Here is a 15,295-nt window from a genome sequence, read left to right on the forward strand (position 1 = left end):
TTTCACATAATAAGAAACAGTTAAGAAATGTACGTTTTTGTTAGTAATTTTAATAGATATAACTTTATTATTTTCCAAATTATTAAGAGCTCAGTTAATTCATTTCACCACGGTATGGTAGTTGTTACAAAAAATTAAGTTCCATCTTCCACCAGTTTAATCTCACAGTCTCTAACTCAACTATTTGAGTGTAAAAATTAACTTTATAATTAGACTATGTAACGTTCAGCTCATGTATTATTATTGCATTAGTGGTGTTTTATATAATTAAATGTAAGGGTGATATTTTAGGACATTATCATATTCATCTTGCAGAATCATACCCTCCTAAGAAGACAGAGTTACACTGGGTAGTTGTAGGCATTTCACTATAGAGTTCAAAACACACTCCTCAGATTTCAATGGGAAATGAAAAGTGAAATGTTCTGACGGTTCTGGATAATATGGCCCTAACCAGTAAGGAGATGGCTTGTGTCTTCTGTGATAAAAAGAACAATAAATAATGAATTACTTGAGATTTCCCTACATGTTTGTTTCCTGTATTGTTTGAGTTTTAAATAATGAAAAATCTAAATAATAGCTGTCATAATAAATTTAAGCAATAAAAACTTTTCAATACATTTTAAATATAAAATATTTATATTTAGTTATATGAATTAAATGGTCAGTGTACATTTCGTTATTCATGTGACTTCAACAGGCTCTCAAGTATAGGGAAGAGTATGCCAAGTTCCCACCTCTAAATGTCTTATAGCTAGGATGGATAGAAATGGAAGGAGTGAATAAAAAATTAACATAAGCTTATCTGCAACTCAACTGAAATCTTGTTTCATAAATAATCTATAGACGTGGTATTCAAATATTTAACACTGAAATTACAAAGTTGCATTTTTTACTATAATATTAAGCACTTATAGAGAAGTTATTATATCTCTGAATTTTAGCTTAAAATGGTGGATATAATAGTAAATAACACTGAAATAGCTCCTCACTGTATACAATAACAGTTAATAGTAAAGCAGAAAGGAAGAAGAATAGAAAGAAAAAGAAAAGAGATGTGTTTTATCCATTGAAAAGAAGAATAATTCTAGACCCTCAGTGAGAAATCAGTTGAAGTAGGAAATAAATTAAGATGTTGATACTATCATTTAGGGAACAATGAATGATGACCTCAACTGGAATGTATAAACAGCAACAAGAAAAAAAATTTGTAAGTGGTATATAATAAAAAAGTTATTGTAGATAAAATATGAAAGATATGAGGGAAAATAATATATTTGGAATACCTCAGTTTTTATGTTATACAGATGATGTATTTTTAGACAAGATAGTGATGGAAGAGAGAGGCATGTAGAAAGTGTAAAGAAGTTCAGGGGAAGTTATCAATTTAGCTATCTTAATCTTGGGGTGCTTGTAAAAAAATAAAAGCATAATGTATAGGAATCCAAAGGTCATAACACTGGTTGAATTCATTAGAACTACAAGTTTAAAACAGAAGAGGCTTTTGTCTCAAAACAACATCAATAAAAAGCCAGGTGTGGTGGTGTGCATCTGTAGTCTCAGCTACTGTGGAGACAAATGCAGGAAGATTTCTTGAGCCCAGGAATTTGAGGCTGTAGTCAGTCCAGGTCTCACTACTGCACTCCAGGCTGGGTGAACATTTTCTTAAGGAAAGAAAAGAAAAAAGGAAGGGAAAAGGGAAATGAGCAAGGGAAGGAGGAAGAGGTATTCTGTGTAGTTACCTTAGTGGTCTCATGAACAGACATCTATGAGATAAAATGAAAGACAGGGCACGTAAAGTTAAATAGAGAAATCAGAGGTAAGTTGAGTCATGTAATCCAAAGCAAAATAGTATTTCAGGAATGAGGGTGTGAATCAGTTCTGTAGATACACATGACTGCTTGAGTAATATGCAACAGACAAGTGAAATATGGGATTTAGTGACAAGTATAAGATATGATTCTAAAAAACAGGGTAAATGCCTGAAGAAAAGAGGGTTAAGAGAAATAAAATTAAACCTTGTCAGGGCAAACTCTTTCCATGAGTCTTGTTATCACGGCAAATAAACAAATGAGTTGAGAGTGCCGTATCTAGGACTAAGACTAACAGCATGTAGATCTAGTAAAGAAAATGATCAAGCCTGGTTTGGTGGCTCACACCTGTACTTCCAGCACTTTGGGAAGCTGAGGTGGTGGGTCACTCGAGGTTTGTTCAAGACCAGCCTTGGCAACACAGTGAAACCCCATCACAATTAAAAATTCAAAATTTAGCCAAGCATGGCAGTACATGCCTCTAACATCAGATACTCAGGAGGCTGAGGCAGGAGAATCACCTGAATCTGGGAGGCTAAGGTTGCAGTGAGCTGAGATTGTGCCAGAGACTCCGTCTTCAAAAAAAATTAAACTAAACTAAAATAAAAGAGTAAGGATAATGATCCTGTAGGTAGAGTGAAGAAGTAATGGTACAGAGAGATAACAAATAATAAGTAAATCAGTCTTTTAAGAAGTTCTGAAATCCAAAGGACAGGTGAAGAGAGTCATAGATAGGAGCAGAAAAATAATACACAAATCTACAGGAGCTTTATTGTTGGTGGTGATTTCTCATGAGAAAGAAACACAAAAGAAAGTGTGAATAAGAAAGTAGTCTCCATTGGTTGGTAGAAAACAAAAAAAAAAAAGGAGAAAACAACAACAAAATAATGTAAATTATATAACATTAAGCTTTAGCGTTCTTCATCCCTTCCCACTGTGATTGTTTCCCCAAGAAATAACAGAATCCAAATAGTCAAAATAGAAGAAACCTTTAGCATATATTACTGTCTATATACATTAAGCCCATTTTATTTTAATTATAATTCATTCTTTTACAATTTTTATTTTAAATTAACAAATGTAAATATTTATGGGACACAAACTGATTTTATAATGCATGTATATGTTGCAAAAGAATTAAATTGGGCTAGTTACCATATCTATCACCTCACATACTTACCATTTCTTTCTTGTGGTAAGAATATATAAATACTACTTTTTAAACAACCTATTTGTCTGAGATAGAATTCAACCTCTGTCTCCCGAGTTGAAGTTTTTCTCTTGCTCAGCTACTCGAGTAGCTGGGATGACATACGCATGCCACCAAACCTGGCTAATTCTTGTATGTTCAGTAGAGACAGTGTTTCCTCATTTTGGCCAGGATGGTCTCGAACTCCTGACCTCTAGTGATCCTCCCACCATAGGCGTTCAAAGTGCCTGGATTTCAGACATGAGCCAACATGCCTGCCCTTTTCTTTATTAAGCAACTTTGAAGTTGACTTATTAACTGTGGTCACCATTCTGTGCAGTGGATCTCCAGAACTCCTTCCTTTCTCACTGAAATATTTTACCCTTTGATGAACATCTCCCCTTTCTCTATCCACTCCTATCACCACCCCTCACTCCAATCTCGGACTCTTTTTTTCCGTGTTTGTTTAGAGTCAGGGCCGTGCTGCATTGCCAAGGCTGGAGTACAGTGGCACAAGTATGGCTCACTGGGTCCTCAAACTTCTGACCCCAAGTGATCCAACCATCTCATCCTCCTAAGATGCTGGAGTTACAGGCATGAGCCACCATATCTGACATATTCACTGTTTGAATGAGTTCAACTTTTTTATATATAATTGTGATCACCCTATACTTGTCTTTCTGTGCCTCTCTTATTACACTGAGCATAATATCTTCCATTTCCATTCACTTGGTCACAAATAAGTAACAGGACTTCCTCCTGTTTTTAAGGCTGTGTAGTATATCTCATTGTATATATGTGCCACACTTTATCTGTCGATCTGTTGATGAGCCCTTGGGTTGTTACTGTATCTTGGCTATTATGAATAACGCTGAGATGAATATAGGACTGCAGCTATCTCTTTGACATGCTAATTTTATATGCTTTGAGCACATATTTTGAAGTAGAGTAGCTGGATCATGTGGTAATTCTATGTTTAATTTAACTTTATTTTTGAAACCTCAATTCTATGACCCCAAAAGCACAGGCTACAAAAGCACAACAAAAAACAATTGGATCATATTACATCAAACTGAAATGTTTCTGCACTGCAAAGGGAAAAGGGAAACAAATAGATTGAAGAGACAACTAAAACACTTGGAGAAAATATCTGCAAACCACATACATGATAAAAGGTGAATAATAAATACATACAAGGAACTCAAGCCACTTAACAACAACAACAACAAAAATTAAGCCTATGAAATATGGACAGAGGACCTGAATTTACATTTCTCAAAAGAAGACATACAACTAGCAAACAACTCTAAATTAAATATTGATTAATTGATTGATTTGAGATGGATTCTCACTCTGTCATCCAGGCTGGAGTGCAGTGATGTGATCTCAGCTCACTGAATCTCCACCCACTGGTTTCCAGCAATTCTGCCTCAGCCTCCCTAGTAGCTGGGATTATAGGTGTGTGCTACTTCACCCGGCTAATTTCTGAACAACTGCATGTTTAAAGATGCTCAACACCACCATCAGGGAAATGCAAATTGAAACCAACAATGAGACCTGCTTTCACACATGTTGGAATGGCCATTACTATCAAGATGAAAAACGACAAGTGTTTTTGAGAATGTAGGGCACAGAGAATGCTTGTGCACTATTGGTAGGAATGTAAATTAATATATTACGTTATTAACCTGATGATTTATTTTTAAGAGAACAGGTTTTGTGCTTTAAGATGCATTAATATGAGTGGTTTTCTGTTAGTCAGTTTAATGAGAAACACTTTGGTTACCTTAAATTAATATAAGTAGGAGCATGCTCATAAGACTTCTCTTTCAGGTTCTCCTTAAGTACAGAATGAAAACTATGGTAAGTACTCTTTCTGAAAAGAAAATATTCGCTGATAATGTATATGCTAGATTACAAACACTTGTTAAATTAAAGGCACATGTTCCAAAAGTGTACCAGGTGAAAAATGCATTATGGGTTTTTTTTCTGCCCAGATTTTGGACCCAGAGGGATTTTTGATTTTGTTTTGTTTTGTTTAAAAATTTGTACAATTATATTGAAGAAAATAAAAATTGCTAATGCATAGTAACAGGAGAAAAATCAATTTTATTAGAAACTACTTCCAAGACTTTGCTGTTTATATTTTTATGAGTATCTTTATAAAGTCATATCCAGCCTCTTTACTCTTTGTTCTGTGAAAGTATATATGTATATTTTATGGATATTGCATACTTTTTATTGATAACATCCAACCCTTCTCCATGAATGACAGTAATTCCTCAGCTGCTTATTTTTATTCTTTTGAGTTTTCTCTAGATGTTTACACAATATCACAGTGCTTCTGGATGATTTTCTGTATGTCCTGGCAATACTTTGTCTGATCACCTTGGATGCAGACACTGACAGAAGAGGAGCATAAAGCCAATGGCTAATAGGTAGGTTATGATGAGCTACATGGCAATTAATGAGTCGCAAGGCTTCAGTAAAATTTTCCCTCCAAAGAACCAAAATACCAATATTATTATCACATTTTCTAAAACCGGAAAGCTGCAGTGTTGGATTGTGTGGTCCACCTCTGTCTCTTGTCAATTATTTTCTTATTTGACAGCTGCAGCTTAACTGATGACCAGCAGAGAAGTTGATGGCAGCTTATACTAGCATGGTTAAGATAAGCATCCATACTGTACCCGCCATGCTGGAATTATTTTCTGTGTTGCTATGAAAATGAACTCCAGTTTTCCAAATCTCCGGCCATGATGCCAAAAATAATACAAAATATATGATTAATAGAAAGTGTAGGGTCCTCAGTTTCAGAGATGCAGGGAAAAATGCCAGAGTCACTACACGTGAGATAGTCACCAAGGAATGCCATATCATGACAAAGATGAATTTTATTACCCATAGCTTAATGGCAGCAAAGTTGTTGCAGGTGTGGATTGCTAGTATGTTGCGGTGAATGGCCCCATACACAACTGATAAGAGGGAACATATAATCAGCGATGCTATTAACGGTAAATATGAAAATGTTAGAGAATAATTTGTATTAGTAATGGCCACTTTCTCTTTTAAACTTGACATGTTAACATATATGCCTCCCAACCCACCTCCTTCAGAAAATAATTGACTTAAAAGAAACAAAAAAAAAGTGCTAACTTTCCATTATCAGGGATTTAGTAAATCTATGCATGCAAAACATATATTACTCCTGGGAAAAACAAATAATAAGGGAATACATATATATTCATATTTATAAACTTCTATACATATTCCCTCAAAGAAAATAGCTGGAACAGATGAAATTAGATAGATACATTCATATCTGATGCTATAAGGTGTGACAGCACATAGAAAGATTTCTCAACAAAGAAAAAATCAAATTACCTGAATTAGACCTTGAAAATGTAGCTTCTTTTTTATAGAAAGTTAGAGTGTAAAGTAAGAAATTACAGAGTAAAATAGGAGGCAAATGTAATATAAACTGTGTTTTAGATTATGGTGATAACAGAAAGTAGGAAATAAGCTGTGGAGTTAAAGTAAATCCTGGAAGTAGAACTGAACAGATTTTGCTGAGTGATGGAATACCAGGTACTAGAGAAGAAGAAAAACTAAAAGTTTTAGAAATTAAGTGTTACATGTGTATGTGCTTTTGTTTGCATGTATGTATGTAATTTTATCAGAAAAATTTTTCATAAGCAAATTAATTTAATTTTGACATTGTTCTGCGAATAATTAGACGAATATGCACAAGAAAGAAAACCAAAATTATGAAGTAGTTGAATAATCAGTTTAAACAATTCTGTACTACATTCAGTTGAAAGAGTAAAACTTCATTTCACATATGCAGGTGGGTTAAAAAAATACACTCTTCATACACAATGAAATGAAGCTAGAAAACAAAAAGAGGCCAAATAGTCATCACTTACCTAAAGTAATTACTCATTTTATAACACCATTTAGAAAATGAATATCAACAGTCCATTTATTCCTTCAGGAATACCCAAAGAGAAACTCTAAAGCAATAACATTCTGAACTGTATTTATGAGAAATAAGACTGAATAAAAATAAATGACCTAAAAATTAAGTCTTAGAAAGTAATTTTAGCTGGGTATAGTGACTCATACTGTAATCCTAGCACTTTAGGAGGCTGAGGTGAGTAGATCACTTGAGCCCAACAACAACAGCAACAACAACAACAACAACAACAACAACAACAAAGAACAACAGTAACAACAAGGAAATACACAAAAAAATGTTAGGGAGGCATGGAGGCACATGCCTGTATCTCAACTATTCAGGAGGCAGAGGTGGGAGGATTGCTTGTGCAAAGGTAGTAGGCATAGAGCTTTTTTGCCTTGGGACTTTTATATCCCTTTCCCCTGACCCCAGCACTTTAGGAGGCTGATACTCAGGGTTAACCTTATAGACCAACCCCGGCAACAGATCAGAAACTATGACCTCAGCAGAATGGACTTCAGTTCCTGTCAATATTCCTGTTGATTGACTGCAGTAACTTCAGGCACCAAATAAACGACACAGGGCAGACCATGGAAGCTACAGACCTTGAGTGCACCCATTGCTCAACTGTGTGCTACAGATGGAGCCTGGCATTGACTCAGCTTTGCCGGTCAAATTACACCAACCATGAAAGTCTGCTCATTAGTGTTTCCCCTAGTGCTACCAGGGCTGAAGCTATCTTAGACTTAAACACCTTAATTTCCTTCTTCTCCTTGCCCTGAATCTCTGGACAGGCTTACCGTGGAAGAAAGCTTCCAAACACAGCCAAACCATGAACATTGAATTAGGCACCTACATCACTGTGCAGACATTGATGCGTAGTCCCAAGGATTAGGATCGATGAGAGAAAGATGATGGCATCGAGTGGTCAAAATAAGGTGTCAGTGGTGACTGACCCACAAGAGACGGGCATGGACACATTGCCTGACAAGGAATTCAAAATAATTATTTTAAGACAATGCAGTGGACTTCAGGAAAACACAAAGGATTCTGAAATTTATCAGAGAAACTTACCTGAGAGGTTAAAATAATGGGAGAAAAAAACAAACAAAAATCTTGAAGAATAAAACACCACAAAATAAAAAATGCAGTTGACAGCAATGCCAACAGAAATGGTCAAGCAGCAAAACTCAAAGATAGGTCAATTCAAAGTACACAGTCAGAGGAGCAAATATAAATAAGATTCATGAGATTAATGGGATAACATCCAAACAGCAAAGGTATCAGACACTAGCATTCAAGAGTGTGGTAGAGCTGGGCACAATGGCTCATGCCTGTATTCCCAGCACTTTGGGAGGCCAAGGTGGGAGGATCACATGTTGCCAAGAGCCTGAGAGCAGCCTGGCTACATGGTGAAACTGTTTCTCTATTAAAATACCAAAATTAGCCAGTTATATTGGTGGACATCTGTAACCCCAGCTACTCAGAAGGCTGAGTTTGGAGAATCACTTGAACTCAGGAGAATCTCTGGAACCCAGGACTTGGAAGTTGCAGTGAGTCACAATCACACCATTGCACTCCAACCTGAGACAAGAGCAAACCTCCATCTCAACAAAAAAATGTATAAAAAAGAGTAGAAAGCTTATTTAGAGAAATAATGAGAAACCTTTCCAAACTTACATAGAAATATAAATATTCTGCTACAGGAATATCAAGGGCTTCCAATCATATTCAATATCAATAAAAATATCTGCATGACTTAATATAACCTAACCACCAAATATCAAAGTCAAAGAGAGGATACAGAATTAAGCAGGAGAAAGAAAAGAAAATATTATTTCAAGAATGCAAGTATATAAGTAATATATGCATATATATAATACAAATGTTAATAGATCCAAAGACAGATAAAAAGTGCAAGATAATAATAGAAAACTTCAGCACCTTACTCTCTGCAAAGAATAGATAATGCAGACTGAATTCAATAAGTAAGCATTGGATTAAAATGCCGAGTAGGGCAAATGCTAAAAACAGCTACTGAACTATCCATCCAAGAGCTATAAAATAAACATTCTTCTCCACTGCAAACATGGAAGATCTTCCAGGATACGTCATACATTAGGCAAAAAAAGTCACATCTTAACAAATTTGAAAAGATCAAAGTCATATCAAGTATCTCTTCCGAAATCACTAAATCATAAGTATATCAAAATTAAACAACATACTCCTGAACAACCAGTGAATCAATGAAGACAATAAGGATAAAACACCGTGTTTCTTGAGTCAAAAATAGAAACACAACACCGCAAAACCTGTGGGAAACAACCAAAGCAGTTTTAAGAGGGAAGTTATGGCAATAAATGCCTTCATGTAAAACAAGATATCAAATACACAACTTGATGTTTCAATCAAGGAATCAGAAAAACAAAAAGCTAAACTTAAAAGTAAAAAAAAAACAAAGCCCCTAATAAAGAAAATCAGAGCCAAAAAAGAGATACCATAACTGACACCAAGAAATAAATTAATGGTAAGAAATCGAATCAGCTGTAAAAAGTCACCTGTTAAAGATAAGCCCAGGACCTGATGTGTTCACTGCTGCATTCTACCTACCACAAAAAGGAAACTACTGCCACTTTTTTTTAACCTAGTGAAAACAAAAACATAAAAGAAAAAAGGAAGATATGGGAACCGTTCCAACTCATTCCATGGGGACGGCATTACGCTGATTACTAAACCAGACAAGGATACAAGAAAAAAGAGAAAACTATGGGCCACTATATCTAATAAACATAATGCAAAAATCCTCAACACAATACTGGGAAAATGACTTATAATGCACATTTGGAAAATCATTCACCGTGATCAAACGAGATTACAGGGATGCAGGAATGGTTTAATACACGAGAATTATTAAATGTCATAGATTACATCAACAAAATAAAGAACAAAGTCTATGCATTCATTTCGATATATGAAAAAAATGACAAAATTCGACATTTTTCACAATAAAATCTCTTAATAAATCATGCGTGGAACAACTGTAACTCAACACAACAAATGACATAGACCCAAATAACCAGATAACACTATATATGATGAACCCTTAGCTAGTATCACAGTCAGTGAGAGTTAAAATTGAAAGCTTTGCTGTGAAGATCTGAAAGAAGACCAGGATGTTCACTTTCACTACTTATAGTAACATAAAACCGAAAGTCATTAACTAGATAAATTAGTCAAGAGAAAGTGAGAAAAGTCACCCAAGTTGGAAAGGCAGAAGTAAAATTGTCCATATATGCTAATGACATATAAGGGAATCCTTAAACATACCACTAAAAAGTAGTTAGAACTAATTCTGAAAGTCAGTAACGTTTCCGTTTATGAAATCAACATATAAAATTCCATAGCATTTCCATGCACTAATAGCAAAGTATGTATTAAAAAAAAAACTTCAGAAAACAATCTCATTTACAATAGCTATGGGGGATAAAAAGGAGTAAATTTAAGCAAGGAGGTAAAAAAATCTGCATTCTGAAAACTATGAAACATTAATAAAATGTTAAAATGACATAACTAAATGAAAATATATCTATGTTTCTATGTTCGTTGATTGGAAAAAGTAATATGGTTAAAATGTTTATATGAGCCAAAGCAGTGCACAGATAGAATGCAATCTCTATCAAAACACCAATCGCATTTTTCACAGAAATTGAAAAAATCCTAAATTAATACAAAACCACAAACACACACACACAAAAACCCTGAATAGTCAAAGCAATCGTGAAGATGGCAGTGCGGTTGGGGAGTGAACCCACAGAACTGGAGATGTCACAATGCTATAAACCAATACAATAGAACACAGTGAACAAAAATAAATTTACACCTGTATAGCCAACTGATATTCCTCAGAGGTGCCAAGAACACAAAATGAGAAAATGTCAATCTCTTCCATAAGTGGTGCTGGGAAAACAAGAGAGCTACATGCAAAAGAATATAATTAAAACCCTATTTCTCACCACGTACAAAAATTAACTCACACGGATTAAAAAGCCTACTGCAGTGGTGTGCCCCTGTAGTTTCAGCTACTCAGGAGTCTCAGATGCGAGGATCACCTGAGCCTAGGTGTCGAAAGCTGTAGCATGAAACACTTATGCCACTGTACTCCACACTAGGTAATATAGTGAGACCTCACCTATAAGAATATATTTTAAAAAACATTTAAAAATAAAGATGTAATGAAAACACAAAACTGTCAAACTAGTTGAATAAATCACAAAACACATTTAATGACGTTGGTCTGGGCAGGAATGTTTTTTGGATAAGACTTCAAAAGCACAAGCAAAAAACACACAGGCAGAAAAATGAGGTTACATTATACTAGAAAACTTCCATACAGCAAAAATGAAAATAAAATAAAATAAATCACCAGAGTGATAGAATGAGAGAAAATATTTGCAAACTGTACATCAGACAAGGAGTTAATCAAAATATACCAGGAACTAAAAATGATTCAAAAGAACAAGGAAATAATAACCTAATTAAAAATAAGTATCTTCTGTTTTCAAAAGAATATATACACAGAGCTAACGGGTGTGTGTGTGTGTGCACGTGTGTGTGTGTGGGTGTGTGCATGTCTGTGGCTGTGTGTATATATATGTAGGTGATTACTATATATATGTATATACACACACACATATATATGCATATAGTAATCTTAACATTTCTCATGATCACAGAATTGCAAACTCTACCTTCCAGGCTCAAGCGATTCCACTGCCTCAGCCTCTGAAGTAGCTGGAATTAGAGGCACGTGCCACTCGCCCAGCTAGTTTTGTATTTTTAGTAGAGATGGGGTTTCACTATGTTAGCTAAGCTGGCCTGGAACTGCCAACCTCAGGTGATCTACCCGACTCGGCCTTTCAAGGTGCTGGGATTAGAGGTGTGAGCCACCATGCTCGGTCTATTGCAAGAAATTTAAGAAATTTATAAAATTTCATAAGTTGACCTTGTAAAAAAGAAAAAGTTGGCCAGGCACGATGGTACACACCTGTAATCCCAACCCTTTCGGAGGTCAAGGTGGGTGGATCACGAGGTCAGGAGCTTAAGACCAGCCGGACCAGTATAGTGAAAACCCATCTCTACTAAAAACACAAAAATTATCTAGGCGTGGTGGTGTGCACCTGTAGTCCCAGCTACTCGGGAGGCTGAGGCAGGAAAATCCCTTGAACCTGGGAGTTGGAAGCTGCAGGGGGGTGAGATCACACCACTGCACTGCAGCCTGGGTGACAGAGCGAGACTCTGTCTCCAAACAACAACAACTATAGCAACAAAATGAGGTGTGTTTTTACTACATGGAGATTTATTGGTTCTGATATTGTCAGGAGTTTTATTTATTTGTTGAGTTTTTTGGCTATTGTGTTGTTCATTTTTTGTTATTTCTGCCTAAGTCCTTTTCTTTCAGGAGATTCAGTCAATTAAACTTAAATTAGCTCCAGAGTATGGTCCAGAATCACTGCATGCATTGTCACTCAGATTAAGCCTTTGGCTTTGCAGGAATGTTTATTGCCCTGCTAGTGTTACTAATTGCTCCTGCTATTACTAATTTGTATTCGCATAGAAGATTAAATCGTGAGGTTACATATTTTTGCATGTGTTTATAAACTTCTGCACTTACCTTTTTGATGAAAGGTAAGACTTATCCCCATTGCCTCCTAATCATATAAAATGTATATAATTTTTATACATTTTACTATCTTGGAACTCTACATGCACATCTGTTAGTGCTAGTGTTACTAATTGCTAGTGTTACTAGTGTTACTAATTGCTCTTGCTTTTACTAATTGCTCCTAGTGTTAGTAATTGCTCCTCCTATTACTAATTTGTATTTGCATAGAAGATTAAATCGTGAGGTTACACATTTTTGCATGTGTTTATAAACTTCTGCACTTACCTTTTTATTGAAAGGTAACACTTATCCCCATTGCCTCCTAATTATATAAAATGTATATAATTTTTATACATTTTACTATCTTGGAACTCTAAATGCACATCTGAATGAAATTAGTTCTTACAAAATTTACAGTACTCGTGCAAATCAGCATAGTAACAGAGAGAAGTCAGATGGAAATGAACTGCCTAGCTATGTTTTGATATTCCAAGTCATAGCTACAAATTTAGGGATATCTAGAAAATCTACCACTAACGTGTTAAATCACGTCAGTTGACAAATAAAATTTATGAGATTAATTTTGAGCCATACTCTCTTCTCACTCTACTCTCATCCCTTAATTTAATGTTATATTTCTATCCCTCATAACTATTTGGAATGCCCATGAGGCTGAATTAGAATAATATTAAAAGGAACAGAAAAAACGACTGACTTAATCCCATTTGCATTGTTAAAAAACTATCATTACCTTATGACTGATAAAAATTGCATGGGAAAATTTTCAAAATTGTGAAAAGTAAATAAATCTAAACAGAGGGTGCATTTCAGTTAGAGGAACGATGATTATCACTTCCTTAATCTTGTTCGTGAACTATTTATATTCTATTTACTGTTTGGAAACAGAGAATGAGAGATATTTGTGTCACTTACCTCACTATAGGTCCTAAAGGAAGAATGCGCCAAGAAAAAGTAATGCAGCTTTATTTCTTCTAAAGTCTTTGTTGAAAAACGTTAGGGTGATTTGATCCAAAATTACCTGCACAATAATAAAGCTCATGGCAAATGACATCAGAATCTGTCACTAGCTTTTCAATTAATTTCAGACATATACAAAGCATAGGCGCCTCACCACAGCAGAGAACAGCTGAGCAGAGAACGCTGAAAGGAAAACTCATATGGGGTCTGTGCCCAAGGACCATTTCTTCTTCCAAAAATAAAACTCCTCCTGTACTTTCTTTATCAGTCTCTTCAAACACTGTGTCCATTCTCAGCATGCTGCTAATTCAAACTCTTCTTGTCAGTGAATCCAGTATAGCTCAGTATCAAATCCAAACAGAAGAAAACCAGATTCTGTATAATTCACTGTTCATGGAAAATATAAAAAAGTAAATACGGCTCACTAATCACAACTTAAAAATCTATGTCTTGTTTAAGAAATATTAAACCATGACTTGACATAATTTAGTCAATTAAAGCATTTGACATAATTCAGTCAATATGTCCAGTAACTTGACGTACTATTTCTTCAGTACATATTGTTTAAAGGAAATAGACAATAAAACTTGTATGAGGCATTGACTACCCCTTAATACCAAGATGATAGTCCTGTCTTCAAGTAGTAAGAAAAAAGGTGCACATTTCTCCTAAGTTTCCTTTTTGTGACCTTCAGCCAGTGTCTCCTGCTGACATCAACTAAAACAAAAGGGCACAATGTCTAAGCCAAATCTAACCATGATGACACTGAGAAAAGTATCTAACAGGTATTTCTGATTGAGAGAGGAATAGAAAATAGTGAGCCCTTTAAGTACCACTTATTGTTAGTTGTTGGCCATTTTTCATTTAAAATACTGATTCTTGGCTTGATTTAATGCAGAAGTTATGAAGTTATTAATCAAGTAAAGTTATGAAGTTATTAATCAAGTTATTAATGAAGTTATTAATCAAGAAAAGTTTCAATTTAAATAGATATGAAATCCAGATTTGAATGGTTATAGAAGATCCAAATTCTATTTTGTTGGGGGGGGGTAGGGGTGGGGTGAAATAGCTCTTATTAGGTTCTTTGCAGACAAACTGCCAGAGAAATTACTGATATACTGTCAAGGTCAATTAGTCATTATGTGTGGGAAGCAATATTAAACAAAAATGAATAAGAAGGAAGAGAAAAGGCAACAGGACTTTTAACTCAAGTAAATATTGGAACAGAAACCTTTTTCTGACTAAAAAGGTTGTTAATATAATAAAAAGGCATGAAAGGTGTAAGAATCTAATGCAAATTACCAGAGAGAAAACATAATATTTTCCCAGAAGACATTGGTCTTTTGTTAAAATATAACAATGGGAAAAATAGAAGCAGTAGTTTAAGTAAGTGGAAGGGAAGAATCAAGAAGTTACTATTTTATTTTTATTTGATAAGATGTTTATTTCCTGAACTTTCTTTGCATTGCTTTTATTCTCATAACTTATCATAAATATGCTTTCCTCCAATTTGCTAAGTTTTATGCTGCAGAGTATTAAATTCCTCAACTTCTGTTGTTCATTATTCTGATCCTAATCACACCTTTATCTATATGCACTTATTTATTCAAAGACAAAACATTTATCACATTTTAAAATACATCCTCCTGGACCCAACTCATCAATATGATTGATATTTTCCTCTTTTGCATAATTAA

The 15,295-nt window shown here is 34.9% G+C and overlaps 1 long non-coding RNA gene and 1 pseudogene across 2 annotated transcripts in view; both read right to left on the reverse strand.

Moving 5' to 3' along the window:
* LOC124905305 (uncharacterized) overlaps positions 1 to 15,295 on the reverse strand; it is a 33,859-nt gene that overhangs the window by 3,262 nt on the left and 15,302 nt on the right. Inside the window, exons 6-7 of one of the 2 annotated variants that reach the window (XR_007068458.1) lie at positions 13,554 to 13,985; positions 7,815 to 7,942 (exon numbers count right to left, since the gene is read on the reverse strand). This is a non-coding gene — a long non-coding RNA (uncharacterized LOC124905305). The remainder of the gene's footprint in view (positions 1 to 7,814; positions 7,943 to 13,553; positions 13,986 to 15,295) is intronic. The other variant, XR_007068459.1, reaches the window with a different exon arrangement.
* Positions 4,997 to 6,793, reverse strand: XKRYP2 (XK related, Y-linked pseudogene 2; annotated as a pseudogene).

Source organism: Homo sapiens, chromosome Y, assembly GCF_000001405.40.
Source record: "Homo sapiens chromosome Y, GRCh38.p14 Primary Assembly".
Lineage (NCBI taxonomy): Eukaryota > Metazoa > Chordata > Mammalia > Primates > Hominidae > Homo > Homo sapiens.